Source organism: Homo sapiens, chromosome 9 (assembly GCF_000001405.40).
Source record: "Homo sapiens chromosome 9, GRCh38.p14 Primary Assembly".
NCBI classification, from domain to species: Eukaryota; Metazoa; Chordata; class Mammalia; order Primates; family Hominidae; genus Homo; species Homo sapiens.
In genome coordinates, this window is record NC_000009.12 from 89,393,872 (window position 1) to 89,421,095 (window position 27,224).

Genomic DNA, 27,224 nt, shown 5'->3' on the forward strand with positions numbered 1-27,224 from the left:
TTGCCCTGGCCAAGCTTCTCAAGATCTCAGACCCTCAATTTACTCATCTGCAAAATGGAAATGGCAACGCTGATGGCTCTAGGGCTGGAAAGCCACCAGGATAAACCCAACACAGGACGTGCTCAGTATGTAATCGGAAGCCCATGAGCAGAATTTTAACATCAATAAAGACGGCATTCTAAGCAGCTAGGTGACCCAATAAATAGGAAGCAGAAAAACATAAACAGGCAGAATCTCTACGTCGCTCCACCCACCAAAACACACTCCAGATGGATCAACCATCTGAATACTAAAAACAGAACCGCACTGTACTAAAACAGAGCAGGGGCTGGCGTTTCCATCTGGGGGTCCTCTCTTTACCTGGCCAGAGTGCCCACAGCCACATGAGGAAAACAATGCACAGATCCAACCACAGAGAGAACTGGAAAGTTCCACATGGGGAAATAATACGGCAAGGTTAAATATGTGACAAACTGGGGGAAATGCCTACAGAATGGCAGATGAGGTGTCTCCATCCCTGAACATGTGAGAAGTGTGGACAAACGAGTGAGAAAGGGCATCCAGGAGAAAAACAGGCAAAATCCAGCAAGTGACAGAAGAAACCCATCTGGACAGCACAGACGAGAGAGGGGCTGAGCCTGCCGGGAACCAGAGAGCACACAGAACACGCGTGGGGATGCCACTTTGCAGCCAACAGCCTGGGCATGCTGAAGACAGGCAGGGCCCACGGCGGGGCAAGGGCACCCAGCACCTCTGCTGCAGGAGGCTGGCTGGAAACACGCTCTCGGAAGCAGAGCAGGAAGGCTCAGACCACGTGGAAGGCCGCAGCTGACACCCTTGAAAGGCCAGTTAAAGCAGCACACAGCTCTTCACCTGTTAGGTTAGGGAATGTGAACCCCACTGGATGTGACCATTTAGCATACCTTGAAAGGAGGTTTCGGGGCTGTTGGGGAAATCTGAACGGGGACTGGAGACTGGATGATGCTGGGGAATGATTGAACGTTTTCTTAGATATAATGATAAAACTGAAGTTACATAGGAAAATGTTACTATTCTTAGGAGATGCCTGTGAAGGCATTTGGGAGTCACGGGTCATAGTTCAGCAAGCACACATATGTACACAGACACACATGTGGACACATAGACATGCACAGGCACACAGACACGTGCACACACACACTCCCAATTGTGCAATCTAGGTTGCCAGGATATACAAGTGATACATCTTTTCTGCAGCTGTGAAAACTTTTATTAAAAATATTAGGAAAAATTGACGGGGCGTGGTGGCTCATGCCTGTAATACCAGCACTTTGGGAGGCCAAGGCGGGTGGATCACCTCAGGTCAGGAGTTCAAGACCAGCCTGACCAACATGGAGAAACCCCATCTCTACTAAAAATACAAAATTAGCCAGACGTGGTGGCACATGCCTGTAATCCAGCTACTCGGGAGGCTGAGGCAGGAGAATCGCTTGAACCCAGGAGATGGAGGTTGCAGTGAGCCGAGATCGCATCACTGTACTCCAGCCTGGGCAACAAGAGTGAAACTCCGTCTCAAAAAAAAAAAAAAATTAGGAAAAATTATAGGTCTAAATTTAAACCAAATACAGTATCCTCTAACCTCAACAGCTAACCTATCTACAGAATGTAAGTTTAAATGACAGAACTTTAAGCTTCTGATTGAGTTTAGCCAGAAAAATCCTTTGTTGTGCAAAATGTTTCTGGTCCAACCGTACTTTCTGCACAAAAGTAAATACAAACGACTGTCTTTGAGGACTGAGGGTCTTACTATCCCCAAAGCACCCCCACCCCCTATCAGGTTTCGTTGCCAGCATCTGTGGTACAGGCAGCTGGGTAGACCCCTACTATGAATCTCACCCCAGACGTCTGTGTGCAAATACCAGGCTTCCTCATCAAGTCTCTAATGAGGCCATACGTTGTCTTGTCATTTATCTCTGACTCAAGATTGGAAAATATTTTAATTCCAATTAATTTAGGGTTCTAGCAAATGATGCTTTTCACTGTGGCATATTTTACATTTATCAGGACTCATTAAAATCCAGGGATACACAGTAGAAAATGTGCTTCATTTTCCATGTTCACATGGACTTATTTAAAATGCTACTTCTCCCTCTCTGATGATCATCACATTGCTCATCAGATTATCTGGATAGAAAGGACCGTCACACAGGGGGAGGTGCCGGATACCAGGCTGGGCAGTCAAGGATGTGAGCCGGTGAGGGACAGAGGCCGGACTTGCTTCTCAAGGTGCTCAGCACACTTGACCTGCTGCCCCTGAGTGGGTGGACCCAGGAGTGGTTCAGTGAGCAAGCTGCACACCACAGCCGACCAGAAGGGTGGGTCCCACAGCCAGAGCACAGATGCACCAACCAAGAACACACAAGCCAGGAGCAAGTCCTGACTTTTCCACCTGACCCAGATGCCCAGAGCTGCCAGGCTGTCTGTCCTTTCCAGCACGTCCCCTCACCCCATAGCATGTTCAGGCTACCTGTCCTTCCCAGCACATCCCCAATGCCATGTTCAGGCTGTCTGTACTTTCCAGCACGCCCCTCCATGGCATGCTCTGCACTAGCACCAAGGGCTCCCAGCACCTTGAGCTGCACCCCAGGCCTCACCCTTGGCCATGGACACCGAAACTTAGAGGAGCCAAGTGGGCTGTGTGCCCCTGACAGCAGCTGTGCAAGACTTTCAGAGGGGCCACAAGCTGCCCCCGTTTTCTGCAGCTGGCTCTGAGAAAATCCTATTTTTTTTTAGGGTGGAGACAGCTTTACGTCTGCTTTGAGCCCCCTTCTACTTTAACTGCTGACCAGGCTGGCGTGAGCACAGGGAGGTGCCCATCAGCCTTACCAGGTGGTCACAGGCCGGCTGGAATGCGTTGGTCCCACACACGTAAAGGGAAGTGGCGCTGAGTGGCTGCAGCACCCGGATGTAGTTGAGGCACTCTGTCTGCAGGGAAGAGAAATGCACCATTAGCAACCGTCCAGCCCAGATGCCCTCCACTATTCAAACTGCTCACGCCGTTCATCTCAGGGGCACAGACCCACATTCACCAACACCAGCTCACAGGTGGCCCCAGGCCAACGAGGCATGTGTGCATTCTCAGCCTTGTCTTGTCATCTAGACCCTCTGCAACTCCTCTTCACACACTGGCCTGTTCTCGTACAGTGGAAGGTTCACTGAGACCCCAACCCCACCCCTAGGCAAACCTAAAGCTGAAACTGGCCTGAGTAATTGTGTCTCTGCAGTGTCCACATGCTGTTCAGGTGCCAAACAGGATTTTGTTTCAGTCCCTAATTGATACTCAGCAAAGATGTGGTGACTGAAAAAAAACTCAATGAATGCTTACCTCAAATCTTACTGGGACACCCACTGTTGAAAGCAATATATTTTACTCTTGCTAAGTACGTGGACCACTTGTTCTGTTGCCAGGCCTGGAGAAGTGTCCACCCTACAGAATTTCCTCTCTGTTTCTGGAGACCCCACCCTGCCTCCAACTTGCACAGAACTAGGAACAGCGACACTAGGTCTACCCAACCCAGGGTCCCAGTCCAGCCCCCATGGGAGTGGCTGCACTAGGAGAGCCTGGAGCCCGGCTTGGCATCAGAAAGGCCCAAGCAGGAAAACAAAGATACCATTTCAGAACCCACTATTTTAGGCTAAAAGTACTTGCGTTACATGTGCTATAGTCTGAAATTATCCCAGATTAGGAGAGTTCTCTTTTTTAGACTGGTTGGAAGTAATTCACTATTCACCCCAACCCACCTGCACACCCCCGGAAACCGGAGCTACACTGCACCGCCTGCTTTTCCTCTCATTTCCTAATCTAACTTTGGATTTAGAGACAAAGACTTCAGTGCAAGTGTTTAGCATTTTGCTAAGAAAGTTTAGCATAGACTTCTTTGGGTTTTCTTTCTTCTTTTGCCTTTAACTCAGCTTGTCTTGACCACCATTGAGGAAGAATGCCCAGTGCCAGGTAGGGACATGATGGCTCAGAGGGTGATGAGGGTAACCTAGAGCTGCAGACGGGAATGAGTATTCGGCCCAGGGCTCCCTGAATGAGTACCACACTGAGGGGCCTGAGGGACCAAAGGGACGGACGTGTGCCAAGAATCCAAAAGTCCCAGTGATAGAGAAAGGAGCCAGAGAAAGTCTAGGCAGACAGGGGCAGGTCCCTGGCAAAACCCCACATGTGAGCCAAAAAGCCTAAAACCCGCAGCCCAGAGTGAGAACTTCTATCCCTGTTTGCCCGCCGTCTCCCGATTGGTTCTTTCTGAACATCTTTTTACAATCAGATGTTGCCTTTTCCGAAACTACCCACAGCCCACCCTGCCCTCATCCTGTGCCTATAAGAGCCCAGACTCAGTTGATAGAGAAGAGAAGGTGCTGGACTAGAGAGAGGTGACTTGACTTCAGAGGGATGGCTGGATTTTGGAGAAATGGCTTAACTTTGGAGAAGAGCCGGCCAGAGCTGGCCAGACTTCAGGGAAGATTATTTGCTCGTCCTGTTCCCTCTCAAGCTCCCATCTCCGCTGAGAGCCACTTCCAACACTAAACAAAATTCTCTGACTCCACCATCCTTTAAGTGTCCATGCAACCTCATTCTTCTTGGATGCCGGACAAGAGCTCAGGACCCTGAGTGTGTGTACCCAAAAAAGGCTGTCATACTGGCCCTTTGCCCTCACTGGCAGAGGACAGCTGTCCCACACAATGAGAAAAGGGGCCCACTGAGCTTATAACACACCACTGTCCATGGAGAACAGAGATAAGAGAGCACTGTAACGCACCCTCTGGGGCTGCGGGGGTCACAGGCACCCCAACCTGGGTGCCACCCTCAGGGCTCACACAAAGCCTGCTCCTGCTGGCACCCAAAACAGCTGGCCAGATCCCACACTTGCTCACTCATGTGCTCCCTCCTGCAAGAGGTTGAGCACAGCAGGCCGAATAAATGGGGCATCTCTGTCGCAAGTCCAACGAAGGGGTTGAGAAAAACTGCATGACTAGCAACTCCTCCAAGCCTAAGGCCTCTGGGTGCAAGGAGGCAGAACAAACCCTGAATTTCTGCACTATTCACCAGTGGGCTTCACTATTCACCAGTGTTCTGTAGTCAAAGTTTCAGGCCATCTGAATACATTCAATTCATATAAACTTTAAAAAAGTATTTCTCAAAGGCCAAATATGTTTGGCACCTGCTTTGAGAAACCCAATCCTGATACTCAGGAATAGAGGGATGAGCTCCAAGACGCATCACAACAAAACCAAGCCCAGCAGAATGAACAGAGCCTGGAGAAAAGGCTGGCCTGCACTGCAGGCATGCTGGCATTCAGTAGATTAAAACAACCAAGAAATACTTGAATGGGATTCTTTGTAGCTTGCAAAAGAAATTTACCTGTTTTGATTTCCCCTTTTCTGCACATTTTGCTTTTTTGTCTTCTGAGACCTTCCAATACACCTGTTGGGATAGAGTCCATATCAGTGCATATTCTTTTAAAGAGATACTAGTATAAAAATGCACAATTTTAAAAGCACATGATAGAGTTTAGAGCCTAGAGGTTTCTCCTGAGATGATCAATTCTCAGACTGCAAGGGAGGTTCAGAGAGCAGGGGAGCAGCCTGGGGCCTTCATGAACATCCTCACTGTGATCCTTATCCTGAAACCAGTGGAGTCTGGAAGACCAGCTCCAAAAGTTCCATCACTCACCATAAAACAGCAGCAAAAATCAAACTCGTGAAAGTGGAGAAAATTAAATTATTTTTCAAAAACCTAAACCATAAGTATTTTCAAACATCAAAGTGGGCTTTTTTCCATCCATTCAAAGTGACTCTACAGGCCGGGCGCAGTGGCTCACACCTGTGATCCCAGCACTTTGGGAGGCTGAGGCAGGCGGATCACCTGAGGTCAGGAGTTCCAGACCAGCCTGGCCAACATGGTGAAACTCCATCTTTACTAAAAATACAAAAATTATCTGGGAGTGGTGGCGGGCGCCTGTAATCCCAGCTACTCGAGAGGCTGAGGCAGGAGAATCTCTTGAACCCGGGAGGCGAAGGTTGCAGTAAGCCGAGATCGCACCACTGCACTCCAGCCTCGTGTGCCTGGGCAACAGAGTAAGACTCCGTCTCAAAAAAAAAAAAAAAAAAAAAAAAAAGTGACTCTACAGTCCAGTTTAAAAAAAAAAGCCACAATATTCACTGTATCAGTAGAAAGGGAGATTTACGATTCCTTAAACTTGCATGTTGGCAGCAGGAGGAAGTGATGAACTAACACCACCAGCTCAGCTCAGGCACCATCTTAGTAAGATCCATGTTCCTACCACCTCTTCTTTCAAACCAGGGACAATTCGTGATCAGAAACTTCCAGGGGGTGGGGGCCTTAGCCCCTTGCCCTCCAAAGCCCCCACAGAATAGAAAGCAACATAAGACAAAAGGGAAGGTTTCTATATCTATCTCTGCCTCACCTTCCCCAAAATGCCCCCTCTCTCTGTGATGTTCCATAACTGATGCAAAAGAAACCAGTAACAATGTATTTTTCTCCACCAAAAGGCTTGTAGCAGGTGTCAGGACTCAGAGGTTAGGAAGCACACAGGGCTTCTAGGAGGGAGAGTATGAGGAGAGGAACCCCACTTTAGGTTTCTAACTAACTCTGTGAGTTCCTGAACAGCACCCAGGCTGCAGACACAGTACTAAGGGAGTGTCATTTCATAGAAATGGAAGTCCTGATAGGGGCACACAAAAGCGGAACAGAGTCTCATTTAAAATAGCCACTTCCTTCAGCATTTAAAGTACAGATGATTTCGTCAACTCGCATGAAATGCATAAGGACAAGGGAACGTACACTTCAACAGACTCTTGATCACGTTTGCAGGGATTTTCACTGATGCTTGGCGGGGGTCTCTTTATTTTTTTCTTTTAAGTATAAGAGGTCCCCAAGCCTCTCCCCAACCCCGAGGGACCACCATGGTGTCATTAACAGAGCAATGTCTGGCTCTCACTGAACACCTGTGGGGCCAGCACAAACACACTGTCCACAATTCCCCCAAGACCGAGTGTGAGCCTGTGTGGTCAGGAAGGCGCTCAGAGGAAGAGAATTTAACAGACACGCGAAGAGTAAGAGCTGAGTGAGGTGAGACCACCACATCTTTCTGCTCAGAGTGCCTCACAGTGCTGAATACTTTGTTTTTGTTTTTTTGAGACAGGGTCTCGCTCTGTTGCCCAGGCTGGACTGCAGTGGCATGATCTCAGCTCACTGCAGCCTCGACCTCCTGGGCTCAAGTGATCCTCCCACTTCAGACTTCCAAGCACCTCAGACTCCCAAGACCTGAGCCACCACACCTGGCTATTTTTTGCAGTTTTTGTAGAGAAAGGGTTTCGCCATGTTGCCCAGGCTGGTCTCAAACTCTTGAGCTCAAGTAATCCGCCTACCTCGACCTCCCACAGTGTTAGGATAACATGCGTGAGCCACAGCACCCAGCCAAATACTTGTTTTCAGAGCATAATGCTCAGAGCTCATTTATGTGTCAAACAGAAATTGAGAAATAAGCTAGACCCTGGAGATGAAAACAAAAAGAGATCTGGGCAGAAAATGTCCAGCGTGAACCTGGAACAGATTCCAGAGAGCAAGAAAACTAACCCCACACCGCGAGGTCTCAGGAGCCAACCCAAACAGGCTGCTGTTGACCATGGATGCGACGATTTGAGCATGAGGTAGGTGTTTCACTGTGATGGGTCAAAGAAGAGCAAATATCTTTAAATCTATGACTTCATTGTGACACTAAAAATCAATCAAAAAACTCACTCTTGCCCTTCAGAGGGGAAACTGACTCATTAACTCATTATTCTGAAAACTGGTAAATAAAGGCAAAGATTCCAAGCATCGATTCTGCATTTCCCAAAGGAAATGGGACCTCTACGGACCAAAATAGCTGGTGATGGGCACTTCCCCTTTTATACGATTTCCAGCTAACAAGTAGAGAAGGAGAGGTAGAATCAGAACATTGCGTTTTGCAATCTTTGATGAGAAGAGCATCTAGACTTCGCTGGTCAAAGGCCACCGAGACTGAGGAGGAGGAACACCTGCCTCCATGGAGAAGCCCGCCTCACAGCCCTGAGAGGGATGAGCCTGGATCTGACACCCAGCTGGGGATGTGAAGACAGAGGTGCATGCTAAAGACACCATGAGTGGGGCTGGGTGTGGTGGCACATACTTACAGTCCCAGCTACTCAGGAGGCTGAGGCAAGAGGATCACTTGAGCCCAGGAGTTTGAGGCTGCAGTGAGCTACAATCAAATTTTAAATTCGGTTTGATTTTTTAAAATGTTTAAAGACACCGAGGAATCAGGAGCAATGTGAAGAGTGGGACATGGGATGGGCTGTGCAGAGTAGCTTTCTCAGGAAGGAAACCGAGGCTGGCTCCTAGAAGCGGAGACTGAATGGACAGGGTGACCAGCTGCAATGGATTGGGACAGCGTGGTTGCAACCTGATTCAAACTAAACGTTTGAACCAACTAAACAAGCATCATCCACAAGAGTCGGTGAAATATGAACACTGGCTGAATGTATGATGATATAAATTTTGGAGAAGCTATTTTTGATTATTTGCACGACAAGGGGCCCTTTCCAGTAAGAGATACCCAGATGAAGAATGTGGTGTCGGGATCTGCCTCAATGCCCCAGGAGGTGGAGGGTACTGTAGGCAAGACTGAACACCCGGCCTTGCATAAGCTGCAGTGGGCACAGGGCTCATGGCATAGCTGTCTCTGCTCATAGGTATGTTTGAGATTTTTTCATAATAAAAAGTTCAAAAAAAAAAAAAGCAAAGAGGGTGGTCCCCGGGTGAACTGCTGGTGGACACCCAAAGATGGGGCTGCATGGTCACAGCTACAGAATGGAGGCTCCAGGTAAGTCAGCCCCCAGCCCCACAGTGGGGCCAGGAGAGGCTGCCCACTCAAGCTGGGCTATGTGGACATGCAGGGGAGCCCAGGACGTACCTCATGCTGCTTCTCGGAGATGTTGAGTGCGTTCACAGCGAAGACCGCCTCCCGGGCACCTATGTACAAGGTGTCCTTGTCCTCGCTCAGCAGCAAGGCTGAGTAGTTGTAGATGTCTGGCTCATGAAACTGCACCAGGTGCACCTCTGTGGGATGCAAGGGCAGGGTCAGAGTGGGAGGAAGAAAAGAGCGATGGAAGCATTTTTAAACCTGAGCACATCCTAGGTCCCTGTCTCAGTGACAATGAGCACGTCTGGGTGCAGTCATGTCTCGAGGGCCATGTGTTGCTGCAACAGGCACTGCTACAGTGGAGGTGGCCTCAGTCAACGCCAGACCCACAGTGTAGCCATCAGGTGTGCTCATGGGAACCACTCACAGCCCTAGAGCTCAAGCCCGGAGCCAGTGTGCTCACTTTGAAGCTGTGAGTCGGACATCCCTTCCTGCTCCCTCAGATCCCAGAATCCCAAACCCTGCTCTGCCAGATGCTTCCTGTGATGGCTCCCACCCTCTGCCCACCCAACTCTGGTCTACATGCCTTGTCATCCACAGATTAGGTGTACAGGAATACAATGACTTAGGATTTTCTTATTCAGGAAAAGAATGTTTTACTTCAAAATCTTCACAAAATTTCTTTTGGAGAATATATCCATCAACGAATGCAATTCTCAGTGATCACCACCACAAACTTATAGACAGAGAAACAAGTGACGTCTCTTTGCTTATTAGGTTACTGTATCAATAGCTACTTAGGAAAATGAAGATTTGAGCAATAGCTGCTTAAGAATAATATAAATGTATCAGCATTATTTTTTTTAGGACCTGTTTCTTCAACTGTCCTGACAACAATTTGAGCATTTTGACCTTGGCTTTTTACATATTACCAAGAGTCTGCTTTATTTAAGAGTCAGGTGGGCCAGGTGTGGTGGCGGGCGCCTGTAACCCCAGCACTTTGGGAGGCCAAGGTGGGACGACTGCTTGTGTCCAGGAGATTGAGGCTGCAGTAAGCTATGATTGTCCCACTGCACTCTAGCCTGGGCAACAGAGCCAGACCCTGACTTCGAGAAAAAACAAAGAGAGTCAGGTGTTCATACTTTCTGTTCTAATTTTCCCATGTGGAAGAGAGATGCACACAGGCAGCAGGTCCTCTCTCTCAGCACAACAATGGCCTATATTGCTGACAGCTCTCAGCCACCTGCAAGCAACACCTTGCTCAGGACCCAGGGTGTAAGCTCTCAATCCACTGAGTCAGAAACCCGGGTCCCCAGACACATCCTCCAAGAGAAGAAATAACTAAAAAAAAACTAAACAGCAGGAAAGGAAAGTAGCTGGCATGAGGCTCAGCTGCACGTAGGACGAGCATTCTTATGATGCCTCACTGTTCTTCTCAGGCGCCTGGAGCAGACGCTCAGTGGGGCGGGTGCTTTGGCAGCACGCCGCGAACATTACTAGGTACGAGGGAGGGAAGCTTCCTGTCAGGGGTCCCCAGATTCAGAAACCAAATCAGGAGGTCTGCACGAGCCTTGCTGAGTATCTACAGTTGTCACAGCCTCTCCCTTAGATCAGCTGAGTAGGCCTGTCTGCTCAGACAAAAGTTCTCAGAGCAGAGAATCCAACAGATCACATGCCAGCATCCTCAGCCACCTGCCTGAGCATCCCAGGAAGTGGAGTTCCTGTCCCGTCCCCAGCCACCCGCCTCAGCATCCCAGGAAGTGGAGTCCCCATCCCGTCCCCAGCCACCCGCCTCAGCATCCCAGGAAGTGGAGTCCCCATCCCGACCTCAGCCACTCACCTCAGCATCCCAGGAAGTGGGGTCCCCATCCCGTCCCCAGCCACCCACCGCAGCATCCCAGGAAGTGGGGTCCCTGTCCCATTCTCAGCCACCCACCTCAGCATCCCAGGAAGTGGGGTCCCTGTCCCGTTCTCAGCCACTCACCTCAGCATCCCAGGAAGTGGGGTCCCCATCCCATCCTCAGCCACCCGCCTCAGCATCCCAGGAAGTGGAGTCCCCATCCCATCCCCAGTCACCCGCCTCAGCATCCCAGGAATTGGGGTCCCCATCCCATCGCCAGCCACCCACCTCAGCATCCCAGGAAGTGGGGTCCCCGTCCCGTCCTCAGCCACTCACCTCAGCATCCCAGGAAGTGGGGTCCCCATCCCATCCTCAGCCACCCGCCTCAGCATCCCAGGAAGTGGAGTCCCCATCCTGTCCCCAGCCACCCGCCTCAGCATTCCAGGAAGTGGGGTCCCCATCCCATCCCCAGCCACCCGCCTCAGCATCCCAGGAAGTGGGGTCCCCATCCCGTCCTCAGCCACTCACCTCAGCATCTCAGGAAGTGGAGTCCCTGTCCCGTTCCCAGCCACCCGCCTCAGCATTCCAGGAAGTGGGGTCCCTGTCCCGTCCCCAGCCACCCACCTCAGCATCCCAGGCAGTGAGGTCCCCATCCCAGGCCATCAGCACCCCTGCAGGTTTCGTCACTCACCTCTGTGCTCCCAGGTGATCCGGGGTATGGGTGCAAATGCCATCGCTGTCCCAAACATCACTGCAAGGGCCATGAGCAGCCCCCTAATGGGGGTGCACATCCTCATCAGGTAGAGGCGACCCCAGGGGCTTCAGCAGCAAAGGCTCACGGCAGCAGGTGGCCGGGCAGGTGTGCTATTGCAGATGCGGCTCAGCGCCCCAGGACCAGGGCCAGCAGCACAGCCTGGAGCTCGTGAACAGCGCGGTCCCTGAGAATCCACATTTCCCAGTTCTCCAGGTGAGGAGGGGTCGCTCTCACCACCGCAATGTCAAAGCCCACTTGATACTTCTTCAGGGCCTCAGAAGAAATGCTGGAAGGACATGAGAAAGAAAAGGCAGGACCCATGGTGAGTGATGACCTGCTTCTCACTGCTCTGTAGCCCCTCTGCTTGCCCTGGATCCTCACCCGGGTCCATCTGCTGAGGAATACGGAAGGCAGCGGGGGACAAAGAGAGTCTTAGAAGTGGACAGCCCAACGGACACAGGAAAGCGAAGCCAGGGTCTTCAGGAGTCAGTGCTTCCCGCTCCTCCAGCTACCAGCCCAGAACACAGGACAGACACATGGAGAGGACCTGGTGTGGGGCACCCGGCAGACACACATGGCCGGCTGGCTGCCCAGCTTCCTTCCTGTGTGGCTGCTGTGTCCAGCTGGTAATGAGATGAAAATGAAGGAAGAGAACTCGGGTTTCAGTTTCCCTTAGAGACTCTGCCTTTGTAACGCTCAGCGAGGAAACGGCCAGAAAAACCAGAGGCTGCAGAGAGAGCTAAGATGTACATGTGAGTGCACACACATGCACACACACAACATATGCGCACACATATGTACACACACACATGCACGGATGTACACCTGTAGAAACACACGCACGTGAGGCCTCACCACGCAGGAGTGTCTGACCTCCTGCCCCAAATGGGACCCTGCTAGCTCTTCCAGTCTCACTTAAAGAAGTCTGTGCACCATAGAAATGGTGGTAACTCACTCTGATTTGCCCAGTAAGAAACAGCCCTTAGTAAAAGAACAGGCTTAATGCTGCTTAGTGAAATTGTGGGGCTGGTGGTGGGAGAGGCATGCACAGGCCTCCTGGCCCCATCTCTCATGTCCCCAACATTCTCTGATGACTGCATGGCTACTGTCCTGGTGTACCTTTGCTGGGCCCCACAGCGTAACCCGCCACAGGACTGGCCCAAGGGCGTCTAGCACCTTGATCTGGGGCCAGCTGCACCCCTGGGTTCACTCTATGAGAATGTCCTGAGCTGGGCACCCAGTGATTGGGCACTTTCACATTACACTTCTGTAAACAGTTCACTCAAAACAGCAACCTGGGATCCCTGAGTCCCTTGCTCCCCCTTCTATCCAGGAGTCCTGTGAGGGTCATGGAACAACCACACCCCTGAGCTCCAGACTCTAGAACCCCACTCCTCCCTACCACCTCCACATGCCGCCTTCCACACCCAGCCAGACACAGCCGAAACAGAACCTCACTCTGCTTCCAGCCAATTCCTACAGTCCATGTCCCCACCTAAAAAAAAGCACCAGCAGTCAGGGGCCGACCCCATCTACCTCTAACCCCACCCCCACCCCCAATCCATAGATGGTGCTGCTGCTCAGCCTCAAACACATCTGGGGCTTGTCTCCTCCTGTCCATCTCCACCACCATCACTCATCTGAGCAATGCTCACCTCTCATCCTGGCCTCTTGCTTCCATGGTAGAGATCACTGGCTTCCTGCCCCAGCATCCATGTTCCTGCACCCTCGCTAACAAAATTCCGAGGTTACTTGGGTTGGCAGTGTGCCCAGCTCACTATATCTCCCAGCTTCTCTGGTGAGAGTTCTGGCCAAAAAAACTGTATGTGGAATTTATTAGATGGCAATTCCAGGAAAGCTCTTTAAAGGAGGCTGATTCAGCTAGCAATTCCCTCAGTCCTTCTCTTCCTGCTGCTGCCTGGAACTAGAATGTGATGGCTGGAGCTCTGGCAGCCATGCTGTCAACATGAAGATAAAAGTCTCATTCTAAGAATGGCCAAGTGAAACCCACAAGAGCCTATGAGACCCTAGGCTATGAGTCTATGCAGACTTGCTAATAAAATTATTAAAATCTTTAAATTACTTGCTTGCAGATTTTTGTTACCAACAAATACCATTCCAAACTGACACAACCTCCCTCCAGTCCACTGCCACAAAGTAGCAGTGGCCAAAGTCATGCTCTTATCATAAATCCAGATCATATCCTTTCCCCATGTGAAATGTTTCAACACCTTCTCATCACTCAGAATAAGGCCCACATTTTCATCATGGCCAGCAAGGCCATGGACAACCCTACTCTACCTCCATCCAACTGCTCCTCATCCACACTCCCTCCACTGCACTGTCCTGGCTACACCTGAACACACAGGGCTCGGCCCCTCTGCATGGCTGTGTAACGGCTGTCTCTCCTGCCTGTCAACACCACTTAGAACATTTCCAGATGTGTCTGTTCTGAAGTTGCCGGTCTAAATCCCACTGCACAGTCTCATTCATCTGAGAGGCTTTTCCTCTGTATAACTGATTGGTAATTAGGAGTGGCTCCCAAAAGCTGCTCCACTTTGAGCTCCCAAACCAGTAATGGTTTCTACATAGGCTCCCAATGAAGAAGACTCAATAAATTATAGGTTCAGATCTTCTGAATTCCAGGCACATTTGCAGCTCCTTGCCATAATGGTGTCACTTTTTGTTTGCAAAACAGAAGTTGACCTACTTGGCCTACAAAGTTGTGAGAATTATCTGCTAAATCATATTACTATATAACTAATCAATTAGCATCTGATAATAATAATGTTTATTGCTCTGACAAATACGAATGGAGCTCCTGCTAAGCCTGGAACAAACAAGTCCTGGCCCCACAGAACCCACGCCCTGGAGTGGGGCTGCGTGGAAGCAACCAGCCCAGGGCCTGGCACCCACAAACATCCCATGCCCCTCCAGGGTCCTGCTGCCCTTGCTCTTCTCAGTCCTCATTGCATGCAATGACAGACATAAGAAAGGATGGTAACAGTGGTGACAAGCTATCCACAGTCCCTCAAGAGAAAAGCTCCCATTAAAAACCAGCTACCCCTCCTTTTGGAGCAATGATCCCCTGGCATTTTAAGGATGCGTCCTTTCTCCCGTTCCATGTGACAAACATCATACAGCCAGTGAGAGCCAGAAGTGACAACGTGGCCAGGCTGCCCCATCCCTTAAAGCAGAAGAGGACTGCACACTCGCATTGTGAGAGACTTCACACTGGCTCCCGCGCCACTAGAGGAGGAGGAGGAGGCAGGCCTGCGGCAGGCAGGGCCTTGGAAAGGGTTCTTGTCATGCATGCAGCAAGGACACCAGTGGCCTGGTCCATGTGCTGCAGTCCCAGCCCAGTGAAACCCAATGAACTGACATTGGCTCCTCCAAGCCACACCCAGACCCAGGTCCCAGCCAGTGCCAAGCTGTGCACAGCAAGGATAAAGCAGAAACAACCTCTCTCGTGGCATGTCCCCCAGCTGGGCAAAGGTCCATACACACAAAAGAAACAGCAATGAGCTGCCATGGGATGGGAGAAGGCGCTCTGAAGACGGATGCGGAGCCTGCAGAGGTAAGGCGTGCCAACCACACAGGAAGCCAGCCGTGGAGACAGCCCAGGGGCAGGCGAGTGGGTATACAAACCGCTACATCCAGACAGGGGAACGTTACTCAGCATTAAAAATAAATAAGCCATTAGGCCATGAAAAGACACAGAGGAACTTTAAAAGCTTATCATTAAAGAGAAAGAAGCCAATCTGTAGAAGTACATACTGCATGATCCCAACTATAGGACATTCTGGGAAAGGCAAAACCATGAAGACAGTAAAAAGATCAGTGGTTCCCAGGGGCTGGGGAGAGAGAGGGTTTTTAGGGCAGGGAAACTAGGCTGGCAGGGATACTACCACGGTGGACACATGTCAGTATGCATTTGTCCGAGCCTACAGAATGTACAACACCAACTGGCAATCCTAATGTCCAGATACAGATGTCGGGTGATAAGGTACCTATGTGGGTTCACCGACTGTAGCAAAGGCACCACTCTGTGGGGGGATTCTGAAAATGAGGGGGCTGTGCATGTGTGGGGAAGGAGCATATGGGAAATCTCTGTACCACCTTCTCAATTTTTCTATGAACCTAAAGTTGATCTAAAAAATAAAGTCTATTAAAATCAGTAACAACAAGGAACAGGCCTAGGAGTTCCTTGCCAGTCACAAAAGCAGCCTCTGTGAGGGTTCATGGCCTGGACACATTAAGGAAGTAAGTGCCCACACCGGAGGGCTAGGAGCAGAGACGCAAGACCCACAAGGCCCAGTTCATTTCGGGTCAAATACCAAAGATGCTGGATCACTGTTGGAGAGATATGGTTTACATGGGATCTAATTCCTATCTAGATCCCCCAACTGCAATCAGTCCTCTGCGTATCCCAATAAGCATGCTGGGGTCAGGCCAGGCTAAGAGTCCAGAGCCAGGAGATGGGAGAACACAGAGATTTATTTCAACTCTCTCTGGAAACCCAATGAAATGACTCTAAAAGGATATGAACTTTAAGGATAAAAATGGAGGAGGGAGGTGACTTTGGAATCTATTAATAGGTGAGCAGTAACCAACGGTGTGCTGGCAAGCTGTAACAACTGGCTCTCCACGGGGTGGGCAGTGGGGGTGGGCGGTGGGGTAAGGTGGGGGGTGCCCAGCTTGCAGCACACGCTGATTTCTGTGGTGTAAATGCTGCTTTCGAGCTCCCAGAATGATGCCGCTGAACTGGGGAGAGGTGCACAGCAGCACCCAGCACATGGCACTGCCATCTCAGATACAAGAGGCGAGTAACTGCAACCACACAGATAACAGTAGAATGCACACGATACTAGAAAGGAATGAGTTCTGAGTATTTTACCTTTTTAAATATAATTTGTTTCATTTTAAGTCCACATATTTAATTTTTAACAGTGGCTGTGTTTACCACCAACCCTGTCACACACCACCAGAGCTGACTGATTTGAATTTCAGACCAGAGTTGAGCCAGGGCCTGGAAGAAGTCACAAAGAAACACAACCTGGAAAATGGAAGCAAGCTTAAAAGTAAAATGTGGTGAAAGAAATGAAAGGCTGGAAAGTAAACTAAAGAGGTTTCCTAGAAGTTACACACGTAGCAGAGATGAAAAAAAGGGGAACAGACAACTGGACGATCCATTCAGGAGTCCCACATGAACTGGCAGGAGCTCCGGGAAAAAAAATGAGGAATTATTAAAGCAGTAATAAAAAGAAAATAACTAGAACAGAAGGACCTGAGCTTTCGGAATAACAGCGCCCAGGAGCACAGTGAATGAAAGGAACCCGCCCACACCAGACACATCATCCTGAAAGGAGGGTTACATGAGGCTTCCAGAAAGAAACAGGCCACAAAGAAATTACCTCTGAGTGCCCCACTGGAGGCAGCAAAGCAACGCCTTTGAATCCCAGGGAAGATGACTTCATACCTAGAATTCCCCATCTAGTCAAATTATCAATCAGTATGAGTGCAGTACAGAACACTGCTTCAAACCTACAAGTTCTCAAATGTTTTACCTCCCTCAGCTTCTTTCTCAGAAAGCTACTGCAGGATTTGCTCCACCAAAACAAGGGAGCTGCTTCCCAGGTCTTCTTTCTTAGGAAGCGAGTGGAGGAGAGGCAGAGAGAGCGGGGAGCTGGGGAGCAGGCAGAGGCTCCAATGGGGCGGGGCAGGAGAAGGCACAGTGGATTACTGATTGCATCTGTGGCTTTGTTCTCAGAAATGCATTTTAAGGCTCTGGCAAAGAGTCTGAAGATGAATTAGAACAGATACACAGATTAGAAAATGAAGTTATTAACCCCAGGGAAGCAAGAGTGACCCATGAATGGAAATGTAACCAGAGTGTACTTATCACTGCCCAGTTGCATAGCCCCCATTACAAAAATTACAACTAACTCCACTGGAGGTCTGGGGGAAGAAAGAGAGGGAAAGGGAGGGGACAAGAGTCAGAGAACACAATCCTGTCTTCCATCATAACACAACATCTAAGATGGGAAAGTCAGGAAATGTAGGCATATCTAATTTGAAGGAAAATACCAAAATAGTGAAAATAGTTGAAACTCAGTGTCTCAGGGCAGCAGGGAAGGGACAAAGGGACAAGACAAGCAAGTGCTGCTTCCTCTCTCAAGTTAAAGAAGAACTACTTCACTTTAAAATTACCTGCATTAATTACTCTCATAAAATGAATTAACCTTAAAAAGACATCCATGTTCTGGTTCCTCACAGCCTGGGGAAAGCAGCCCAGTGGATCCAGAAGCAGAAGACATGACCCCCTGAAGGGAGGCTCCCAAGGACGGGAAGAGTGAGCTGACTCTGTGCAGAGCCTGGGTCCCTAGGGCAGCCAGATCTGGGGGCTCAAACACGCTGTAAAAATAGGATTGTTCACCGCAAAGCCGAAGTGCTGGGCAGTGGCACAGGATTTAATGCAGAATGCCAGCACCTAATGTGGCCAGCCTCTTCCACTCCACTCCTGCCCCCTCCCTCCGATGCACCCCACCCGTCTCAGGCTGCCTTGCAGCCTTGGCACTTGCTGCTCCCTCTTCCAGACTGTTCTACCCCCAGGAGCTGCTGGTGGCTGGCTCCATCCCACAGTCACCCTTTGCCTCCCCTGACCCCCACACTCCATCCCCCTCTGTGGTATTGTTTTCATAGCACTTGGCCTAAGGACCTAAAAACGCCTCCCTGACTTAGTTGAGGTAGAACAGGAGAAACACAAACATCCCAGTGAGAAGACTAGGGCCAGACCCGGAGAGGACAAAGGTAAGGAGCCAAGAGTAGAAAGTTCCACAAAACAAAATCGCCAGTGAAGAGAGATTGAAAACAAATCTTGTAATAGTATCCACGACCAAACCCAGGGATGGCAAAGCCATCCCCAAACGAATGTGGCTGAGAGAAGGTATTTCCAGGAGTGTCAGCAGGTGCCCAGGTGGAAGCCAGCAGGTTCTCCTGTGTGGCTTTAAATGGTTACGAAGGACTGTCAGGACTGGTGCTGTTTATGCGGTTACTCAAACTGGTTATGTTGAAAAGAAACCTTTTTCTTAATTGCTTTTACCTTGGACCAATCCAGACACTGCCATGTAGAGCTCAGCAGGGCACGGGCACCCCCACCTGGCTTCCAGGCCCTGCCCTGAGAACAATGATTGACCACCAGGCTTCCTGGCACGGATTTATATCCAGGTCTGCAGTGTATTGATCTCATCAGCAGACACCAGATTCTCGATGGCATAAATCAGGCCCTGCTGCTCTTCTCAAATGGCCTTTAAAACAGTCCACATGAGTAGCCAAAGGTCAGGACAGACCCCATGCCACATACTGCTCCTCCCAGGGAGGGGGAGGGGGCTGCACATTTTCTTTGTGACACTGGAGGGTTTTTTTTTCCTTTTTCAACAAGAATGCATTGTTTCATATAATTTTAAAGTTGCTTTAAGCAAAGCACACACCACAACTCACACAGATCTGCCGGCCCTGCGAGTTCTTTCAGAACAGTGGCTCCATAATCATTGATGGGTGTTACATTAAGGACCTCACTCTAAATAGTTAAATTAAAACAAAAGGAGAAAAAGGCCATTTTGCTGGCTTTCTTCGCCATTTCTGAGAAGCAAAGGTATCCCGCTGGGAGCTGAGCTGTATGCATGTGCATTTTGCCCTGACAGTGTGAAATTGCTGCCCTTTGCATTCAGAAAGAATGACTTGACACAGGAGCCCATTAGAAAGACAGGGTTGTGAAATGTCACTCTCATTACTTACACGTAATTGGGGCTGTTCATGAGGGTGCACGAGCCCACTTTAAATGTCAGCAGAATGGAACTCCAAGGGGGCTCTGAGCCCCACACTCTTTTGCCTGTCAGTACTTGTCAGAAGGCAGCTCTCCCACCCCCAGGGGTCTTCAAATCAAGGCAGGAGATCACAGCAGAGAAAATGGGAGTACCCAGCAACCACTGTGCATACATGTCTGCGTGTATGTATATATATATGTGGACACATGTACATCTGTGTGTATGCATCTGTGTATGTGCACGCATGTGCATCTGTATTTCTGTATGTGTGCACATGAACCCGCATAGATATGTGCACCTATCCATGTTTGTACATTTGTACACATCTGTACAGGTGTGTTGTGTACATGTGTATGTCTGCATGTCTGCACATGCATGTGTATGTCTGTGTGCATACATATGTACACCTGTGTGAGTGCATGTGCATCTGCTTGGATCTCTGCATGTGTATACATATGTGTATGCATGGGCATCTGTGTATGTGTGTGTATAATGTATGTGTGCACCTGTGCATGTCTGCCTGTGTACATATATCCATACATATGTATCTGTGTATGCATATACATGTATGTGTGCACAGCTATATGTGCACATACGTGCATGCATCTGTGTGCGCATCTGTGTATGTGTACGCAGACATGTATGTGCGCATCTGTGTGTGCATGTGTGTATATGTGCATCTGTGCATGTGTCACTCTGTTGCAGAACATACATTCTGATCTAGTGTTGCATCTTAGATGTGAATAGTGACTGCTGGCAAGTGTCCTGTAAGGCAGGAACCATGAACCAAAATGCCATCTGGGGACTGTCCAGTCACCCGTGTCTCGGCTCCTTCCTGGGATCAGCTGTCTGGCAGCTAGGGTAGATTACAGAGGGGACACCAGTCACTACCACATGGAAGGTGTCAGTGCTTCTGCCAGCAACAGGATGCAACACTGGCATTAAAATGCCCTGGCTGGCATCCCAGGGAAACTGAAAGGGGATCTCTGGTGACAGCTGTGGACTGGCCAATCTAACATAGGCAGTCATTACCTGGACCCCTGACCTCACTGCATGCAAACTACTGCCTGGGGGAGCGTGTTCTGGCTTATTTCTTATCTCAGGGGTTTGCCCAGATGGGGCAGGTAAAGCTTAGAGTCTCTCCAGGCCCTACAACCAGGACAGTGGAGGACACGCACTCACCACATCTTCCCTCCCAGCTGGAAGCAGGCAGCCAGGTGCTGGGAAACAGAAGACACCACAGCCCTCACCAACCATGCCCTGCCAGTACCTGGCCACCTAGTATCCCCACCCTGGGATGTCCTCTGCCCCCAGAAACCCCTCTCCCACCTCCAGTTAGGATGCTGATGTCACTGCCTTGCAAACTGAGGATAAAATGGCCTTATCCCATCAGGAATCAGGAATGGGTTTCAGGAGCTGTCTAGGTCACAAGCATAATAAACAGTTTATTGTTCCAACTTCAGTTTTCCTAGAATTAAAATGGATCCCTGGAGACCAACACTCCAGCTCTGCAGGGACATGCCTAGCCCTGGACCTGTGTTGGGCCGGACTCACCCAGCAGGGCAGCTGCCAGGACCAGTCTACTTCACCCTCAAGCCACATCCCTGCAGGGGCAAGCGAGCCACAGCCAGGATATCTCAGACATGCTCTAACCCTCACCCACTTCCCAAACCCCTGGGTGCAGCATGTACAGAATGGGAAACCCAGGGAGAGAGACAGAGGGCGGTGGGAGTGAAGAACACAGGCATCCATCTATCAGCAATGTCGGCAGGACAAGCGCTATGAGGATGCACGCAGAGTGGCGGCACGAACAGGGCCCTTCAGAGGAAGGGTGGGGACCCCTCTAAGCAGCAGCCAGCATGGTAGAGATGCAGACTGTCATGCCATTTGTGTGACATCACTCTACTCTTCAGACTTGGATACAGACAATACTGTCTTTTCTGGAGGGTGTGTGGTGTGTGCATGCATCCTTGGGCCCAAGCAGGTTAGTGCTAGCAAAAATAATCATCTTCCACTGGCCTAATGTTGACCTGCTGCCATCTCTAAGGGGGCCAACGGTCTCCCTACTGGACACTGGCTCCCAGGCACAGTGTGGGGTTGTTCTGGGAAGTGGCTGGCCAGCCCCTCAGGGAGGACTGTGTTAACCCTGCGGCCCTAAAGGGATGCCTGGTGTCATGTCTTTCAAAGGTGATACTATGGTCTGAATGTCTGGATTACCCCCAAATTCAGATGTTGAAATCCTAACCACCAATGTGATGGTTTCTGGAGAGGGAGCCTTTGGGAGGTGACTGGGTCAGGAGGGCAGAGTCTTCATGGAAGTAGTGCCCCTATAAAAGGAGTCCCAGAGAGCTCCCTCACCCCTCAACCATGTGAGAAGACGCTGTCTATGAACCAGGAGGAGGGCCTTCACCAGACACCAAATCTGCCAGCGCCTTGATCTTCGACTTCCCAGCCTCCGGAATGGATAAATAAATGTCTGTTTTTATGTCACCCAGTCTATGACATTTTGTTTGAGCAGCCTGAGCTGACTGAGACAGTGGCAATTCAGGGGCTGCTGGCACCCAGCAGAGCTCAGCACCGGACAGAACCCAGCCAGCAGAGATGCTTCCAGAATGCCAAAGGTCGGTCACCATTTACACTGGTAGCGCCTTTGATATGACACTAAAACTGGTGCTTCGGTCCCCCAGAGCTTGGCTTGCAGGGAGGGCAAAATTACATAAAAGACATTATATAGAAAAGTTTTGCTTTAAGTGGACTTTATTTGTATTCTTAATTTTCCACCTCTTATAAAACTGTCCTACCTTCAAAAATAATTCCAAGGGTGCTTAACTCCACAAACCAAATGTAAATTAAAATAAAATACCCATTATTGTCCACAAAGCAAGCTGAAATTTAAAAGTCTGCTGCTAGTTAGTGCTGGGAAGGTGTGGGGTAAAGGACTTCTGGGTACAATTCTGAACTATCCAGATGTCTGCACACTCTGATCCCCTGGCAACTCTTGGGCAGCAAACTATGTGTGCACAGCTACAGGCGTGCAAAGCGACACGTGGGAAGACCACCCTGCCATGACGTGACAGTAAAATGTGCAACCAAAGGGGATGCTCCTCAATGAGGGGCTGGTTAACAGTCAGGCAAGGAAGACAACACCATTACAAAGACTAAAGCTGGTCTACACGAACTGCCTGTGAGCCCATCACACCGAAGACATGTGTAGAGCAACAACACGCGAGGCGCGACCCACCTGTGTCAACAGAGGATGCGTCAGTCTACACACAACACATACACACACAGCCACGGACACACAGGGACATGCACAAACACCAGGCACAGACTCACAAGAACATACACTCCTACACACAGGGACACACAGATACCAGACACAAATGCACACACATGAACGTGGACAGACAGCCAACTGTTAACAGTGGTCGCTTATAAGGAGGAGGAGGAGGAGAACAACCAGGAACTCAAGTTTTCTTTGTTTTTTAAAAAATGAATCATACTTTTATATTGCTTCTGTAAAAAAATTTAATTCATGAAGAGATTATGTTTCACCCATGCTACACCCAAGTCAGTAGACCAAAAATTGAAACCCACCACATTAGTGTATGGAGCTGTGCATAATGCGATTTTTCACATGCTAATCCATTTCTTGGTTTAGGTGACTATTTCTTGCCATACCTTTGACCTTTTTTTTATTTACATAAAAAAATGAGAAGTGGCTTCCTTTCCCCATATATACTTCGTGCTTTTTGTGACAGCAAAGTAAAAAATAACAGAAGGAGCCAGTCCTCCTGGGCTCTCACAATGGAATTCTCTTACTGCTTAATACAGCACAGAATGGATAAAATTGTCCCTGCTTTCAATTACCTTATAACTAAAGATTCCAAAATATTTTTTATGAAGAGACTGACAAAAAACAAAACTCAAAGACAAATGACTTAAGGGAGGAAAAAGAAACCAGCAAAAAATACTTGTAAGACAAGTGCCAATTCCTAATAAATAAAGTGATTTAACAAATGTAAGAAAACAGAGCTCCCACCCCAATGGACCAGATAATATATCTAGCCAATAAGCACAGAAAGTGCTGTCTCCCTGGCAGTGATGCTGTGCTAATTAAAGCCGCCCTATCTAATTGGCAAGATGTGCTCTCATCACGGTCCCATGCATAGGAACCATGAAGGTCTAAGCTGGCAGCAGGACTCTTTAAAAGCCAGCAGAATAAAAAACCTTGTGGGGGCTCATTCATGATACTTGAGTAATATGAAAATGATGAAGGAAAGATGGGGTTTGACTTTTGTTTTCACAAATTAAGCTGGTTATTTCCTTCTCCTCTGAAACTGAAAATGCATGGCTTGGAACGGACCAAAATTAAGATTAAACACAAAATGGCCCAAATCTGAGGAGGGTGACCTGGAGAGCCCTCTTATTACACCACACCTTACCAGCCACCTTCCTGCACCCTCCAAAAGAAGAGAGTAAGCTTTCTGGTGCAGGCACCAGGGGCCATCAGCCGCGGAGCTGCCACAATCCCAAGACCCAGTGGGAGGAGAGGCCGAGAGAGCAGGGAAGAATAGGGGGAGCTGGGACAAGCAGTGGCAGAGCAAGAACAGAGACAGACAATCACTGTGGGTGCCCAGCACCCACCTCCCCATGCCGGGCCCAAGGGATGGCAGCCAAGTCTGAAGCTTTGCCCCACAGGATATCAGGGACCAAGGGACCAAGCAACCAACCACCTGCCAGATCCAACTGAGGCCTCTACACATTATCAACTCTGCTCAACTGAAATTACAGATCATGAATAAAGTGGTTTTACCTGTATCTTATGCCTCTTGAAACTTTCCAGTCATTTCTAGAAAGACGTCTTCAGAAATCTTTGCTGTGAAAATAATGGGAAACAAGGCTATTTAAGCCCTTAAACTGTGCATCCACTTAAACTCAGCAACACTCCTAGAAAGGCACTGAAAACAAATTATTGTGAGTTTAAACCTTCTAGACTTCCTTAGACGCAGGATCAGCTTGGCTTGCATGTGCTGGGGAAGACAGCACTGGGGCAGACAGGAGGGAGGAGCTGTGCAACCACCCACCCACGAACAGAGGGGAAGGGCAGCCCAGCCCGTTACCTGGTGCTAGAGATGAGCCCCAGGACCCGACCAGGTGTACTTTCTTGCACAATAAGCCATTCCAGTTAGCAGAGTCTGTGAACCAAAAAAGTACTATCTAATTGTCTATTAGCTCCAGATATGTATCCTTTAAAATTCATCTTCATGAGGCAAAGAAGGAAAAAGCAGAAACACATATGGCATAATTACAAGCACTAAAGAGCTGTTCATCTTCCTTTATTTTTGGATGGCTGGTTTTCAGCCAAACAGAACGGTGTCCACCGTGGTGTGGCAAGGTTCCATAGCATGGCTGTCACTCCTTTGCAGTGTGGGAGATCAGTCTCAAGACAGGGATCGTGGGGTGCAGTAGCAGCACCAACAATTAGATCAAGAGAATCAGAATCGCAAAACCAGAGCCACGTGCAGGACTGCAGACGCTCAGGAGCCGACGCTGATCCCTCCATGATTCTATTAACACAGGAGCCACGTAATTGTTAAACCTTGGAATCAGACTCCAGCATATTCTGTGGTGAGGAGGGTTTCTTTTTTGTTTGCCTTTTGCTTTCAGAGCTTATATGATCACGGCTCTTTTTTTGAAGCCAGCTGGGAAGGAGGCGGCTCTCCCTCCTCTACAGGAGCCCCCGTCCCTCCCACCCAGGCCCCTCACTGGACGGCTCCCTCCTCTACAGACGCCCTGTACACCCCTCCCCAGGAAGCAGAACCTTAGACACGGCCATCCAGGCACACAACATCCGGTCCCCCCACCCCTCGGGGCCGACACATCCTCTGAACCCTGAGCAGGCACCTGAGGTTAGCAAATGAACCGCGAGGGCAGTGATCAGAAACGATCACGATTCATCAGGCCCCACCGTAGTGGAGCTTCCAGAGACTGATACTGGGGTCTTCCCTCCAGCAGTGGATGGCTCTTACGGCCAATTTTATAAGCAAAAGTAGGTTCACATGAGCAGCTATGAGAATCCTGGAAAAGGCCACATCCACCCAGGACCTGACACCGACATTTCCTGTTGAAACTCCTGGGGCAGGGCTGAGCATTTGGGCACAACTGCTGGACAAGCAAAGAGGGAAAGTCCACGCTACTGTGGGCACCTGCAAAGTGCCACATCACTTGTTTCCACGAGGCCTTCCTGTCACACGGGAGGGAGAGGGGACAGTGGCCGCCCAGAGACTGTGCCAAAAAACAGTTGAAGGCAACAAAGGCAGAGATTCATACATAAATAAGAGGCTTAGGTAAATAATGTGAATATCACGGATTTTAAAACTAAAAAACTGGCCAGGCACTGTGGCTCACGCCTGTAATCCCAACACTTTAGGAGGCCGAGGCGGGTGGATCACTTGAGGTCAGGAGTTCAAGACCAGCTTGACCAACAAGGCAAAACCCCGTCTCTATCAAAAAAAAATACAAAAATTAGCTGGGTGTGGTGGTGCGCACCTGTCATCCCAGCTACTTGGGAGGCTGAGGCAGGAGAATCGCTTGAACTCAGGAGGTGGAGGTTGGAGTGAGCCAAGATCGCGCCATTGCACTCTGACCTGGGTGACAGAAAAAGACTCCGTCTCAAAAAAAACAAAAAAACACCTGAAAAACTTCTATTTTTTAGAAATGAAATAAGCCTTTGTCACTTTAATAAAGACCCAGAACTGCTCATCCTGTGGTTTAAGACACGTATCATATTCACGGTAATTTTGTGGCATCCAACAACAAATGTCAGCAGGTCTGGGTTCTCATCTCAATTGCCTCCAACAACTCCACCTGAACACCAGCATCCTTGTGTCCTGCCTCCCAGCTGGGGGTTCATATCTAGCCTCCAAAAACAGCTGCCAGCCCCAAGGTTCCTGAGTGGGAACACACTTCCTTTCTTAGTGAATTGCCCAGGCCCCAACCCCGCGTTGCCTTCACCCTACACATACACGGTTTGTTTCTTCTTTCTCAGCGTGCAACCCCACAGTTATGAGTTACCTGGCTTAAAAATGCAAACCCACACTTCTCATGTAATTACTCATCATGCTGTTTTAACTCATATCTCCCAACTCCTGACAGCACAGGTAAAAAGAATCCAATGGCCTGTTCATCAAAAAGCAATGAAATTAATTAGGAGAGAGAAGCATTTCCCTCTCATGGCCTTCACATCCTCTCCTGGTGCACCCCCTCTAGTGCAGGAGAGTGTGGGGCTCCAACGCCCAGGCCTTGCGAACAGGTATTTAGTGGTCGCTGATGGCAGAAGGACAGAGCCACTGGCAGCGCCTTCATCTGGCCTCCATCCTGCAGACATGACCTCGCCTTCTGGGCGTACTCCCTAAGCAGGGACCTGGTGTTCTTCAGCACACAGAGAAGACAAGTGGGATGAAGCAAGAGCAAGGGGCTCTGCAATCAGAGGAACCTGGGTTCCAGTCCTGGCTTCTCCAAGTTGTGTGTTCCTGAGGGAAGTTACTGAGCCTCTCTGGGCCTCTGTTTCCTTATCCAAAAAGTGGGCATACTAATACTGCCTGTCTCATTTGGTTATGAGGATCCATGACTAATCAGTTAATGCTTCCTAGTGCTTTCCTAGGTGCCCGATGCTGTTTAAGCACTGGGAGGCATTAACTATCATTCTTACCACTTGTGAAATGAAGCCAGTTATATCTGCCTAGCTAAGAAGACTCAGAGAGATATAACAAGCAGGGTGCAGCTATTAGCACATCTAACAACCCCTACTGCCAGGGACTGTGGGCTCCACCAGCCTCCTCCTGCACACACGG

At 49.5% G+C, this 27,224-nt stretch overlaps 1 protein-coding gene across 58 annotated transcripts in view, besides 11 other annotated features; it reads right to left on the reverse strand.

The window, feature by feature from the left end:
- The window catches only part of SEMA4D (semaphorin 4D), a 137,327-nt gene that overhangs the window by 33,085 nt on the left and 77,018 nt on the right, over positions 1-27,224 (reverse strand). For 20 of the 58 annotated variants that reach the window (NR_163888.1, XM_047422620.1, NM_001142287.2 and 17 more), the window contains 6 exons: positions 24,492-24,566; positions 24,185-24,247; positions 11,480-11,828; positions 9,000-9,145; positions 5,405-5,467; positions 2,866-2,964 (listed from right to left, as the gene is read on the reverse strand). Coding sequence is in view for 52 of the 58 variants with exons in the window: in XM_047422620.1 (XP_047278576.1) it covers positions 2,866-2,964; positions 5,405-5,467; positions 9,000-9,145; positions 11,480-11,585 (414 nt within the window). In the remaining 6 variants the exon portion in view is untranslated. Of the gene's footprint in view, positions 1-2,865; positions 2,965-5,404; positions 5,468-8,999; positions 9,146-11,479; positions 11,829-11,923; positions 12,151-24,184; positions 24,248-24,491; positions 24,567-27,224 lie in introns of those variants that run through there. The other 38 variants (NR_163886.1, NR_163889.1, NR_163887.1 and 35 more) reach the window with 3 other exon arrangements.
- Positions 11,531-12,352: an enhancer, noted in NCBI's record as "H3K27ac-H3K4me1 hESC enhancer chr9:92020317-92021138 (GRCh37/hg19 assembly coordinates)". NCBI's record gives its function as "activates a minimal SCP1, AML or CMV promoter by ChIP-STARR-seq in naive H9 embryonic stem cells {active_cell/tissue: H9 hESC(naive)}" and the evidence as "EXISTENCE:reporter gene assay evidence [ECO:0000049][PMID:30033119]".
- Positions 11,952-12,121: an enhancer, noted in NCBI's record as "active region_28532". NCBI's record gives its function as "activates an Ori minimal core promoter by ATAC-STARR-seq in GM12878 lymphoblastoid cells {active_cell/tissue: GM12878}" and the evidence as "EXISTENCE:reporter gene assay evidence [ECO:0000049][PMID:35858748]".
- Positions 12,353-13,173: an enhancer, noted in NCBI's record as "H3K27ac-H3K4me1 hESC enhancer chr9:92021139-92021959 (GRCh37/hg19 assembly coordinates)". NCBI's record gives its function as "activates a minimal SCP1, AML or CMV promoter by ChIP-STARR-seq in naive H9 embryonic stem cells {active_cell/tissue: H9 hESC(naive)}" and the evidence as "EXISTENCE:reporter gene assay evidence [ECO:0000049][PMID:30033119]".
- Positions 12,662-12,711: an enhancer, noted in NCBI's record as "active region_28533". NCBI's record gives its function as "activates an Ori minimal core promoter by ATAC-STARR-seq in GM12878 lymphoblastoid cells {active_cell/tissue: GM12878}" and the evidence as "EXISTENCE:reporter gene assay evidence [ECO:0000049][PMID:35858748]".
- Positions 12,722-12,821: an enhancer, noted in NCBI's record as "active region_28534". NCBI's record gives its function as "activates an Ori minimal core promoter by ATAC-STARR-seq in GM12878 lymphoblastoid cells {active_cell/tissue: GM12878}" and the evidence as "EXISTENCE:reporter gene assay evidence [ECO:0000049][PMID:35858748]".
- Positions 16,926-17,085: an enhancer, noted in NCBI's record as "active region_28535". NCBI's record gives its function as "activates an Ori minimal core promoter by ATAC-STARR-seq in GM12878 lymphoblastoid cells {active_cell/tissue: GM12878}" and the evidence as "EXISTENCE:reporter gene assay evidence [ECO:0000049][PMID:35858748]".
- Positions 17,580-18,082: an enhancer, noted in NCBI's record as "H3K4me1 hESC enhancer chr9:92026366-92026868 (GRCh37/hg19 assembly coordinates)". NCBI's record gives its function as "activates a minimal SCP1, AML or CMV promoter by ChIP-STARR-seq in naive H9 embryonic stem cells {active_cell/tissue: H9 hESC(naive)}" and the evidence as "EXISTENCE:reporter gene assay evidence [ECO:0000049][PMID:30033119]".
- Positions 18,083-18,584: an enhancer, noted in NCBI's record as "H3K4me1 hESC enhancer chr9:92026869-92027370 (GRCh37/hg19 assembly coordinates)". NCBI's record gives its function as "activates a minimal SCP1, AML or CMV promoter by ChIP-STARR-seq in naive H9 embryonic stem cells {active_cell/tissue: H9 hESC(naive)}" and the evidence as "EXISTENCE:reporter gene assay evidence [ECO:0000049][PMID:30033119]".
- Positions 18,836-19,336: an enhancer, noted in NCBI's record as "OCT4-NANOG-H3K27ac hESC enhancer chr9:92027622-92028122 (GRCh37/hg19 assembly coordinates)". NCBI's record gives its function as "activates a minimal SCP1, AML or CMV promoter by ChIP-STARR-seq in naive H9 embryonic stem cells {active_cell/tissue: H9 hESC(naive)}" and the evidence as "EXISTENCE:reporter gene assay evidence [ECO:0000049][PMID:30033119]".
- Positions 19,337-19,837: an enhancer, noted in NCBI's record as "OCT4-NANOG-H3K27ac hESC enhancer chr9:92028123-92028623 (GRCh37/hg19 assembly coordinates)". NCBI's record gives its function as "activates a minimal SCP1, AML or CMV promoter by ChIP-STARR-seq in naive H9 embryonic stem cells {active_cell/tissue: H9 hESC(naive)}" and the evidence as "EXISTENCE:reporter gene assay evidence [ECO:0000049][PMID:30033119]".
- Positions 26,719-26,868: an enhancer, noted in NCBI's record as "active region_28536". NCBI's record gives its function as "activates an Ori minimal core promoter by ATAC-STARR-seq in GM12878 lymphoblastoid cells {active_cell/tissue: GM12878}" and the evidence as "EXISTENCE:reporter gene assay evidence [ECO:0000049][PMID:35858748]".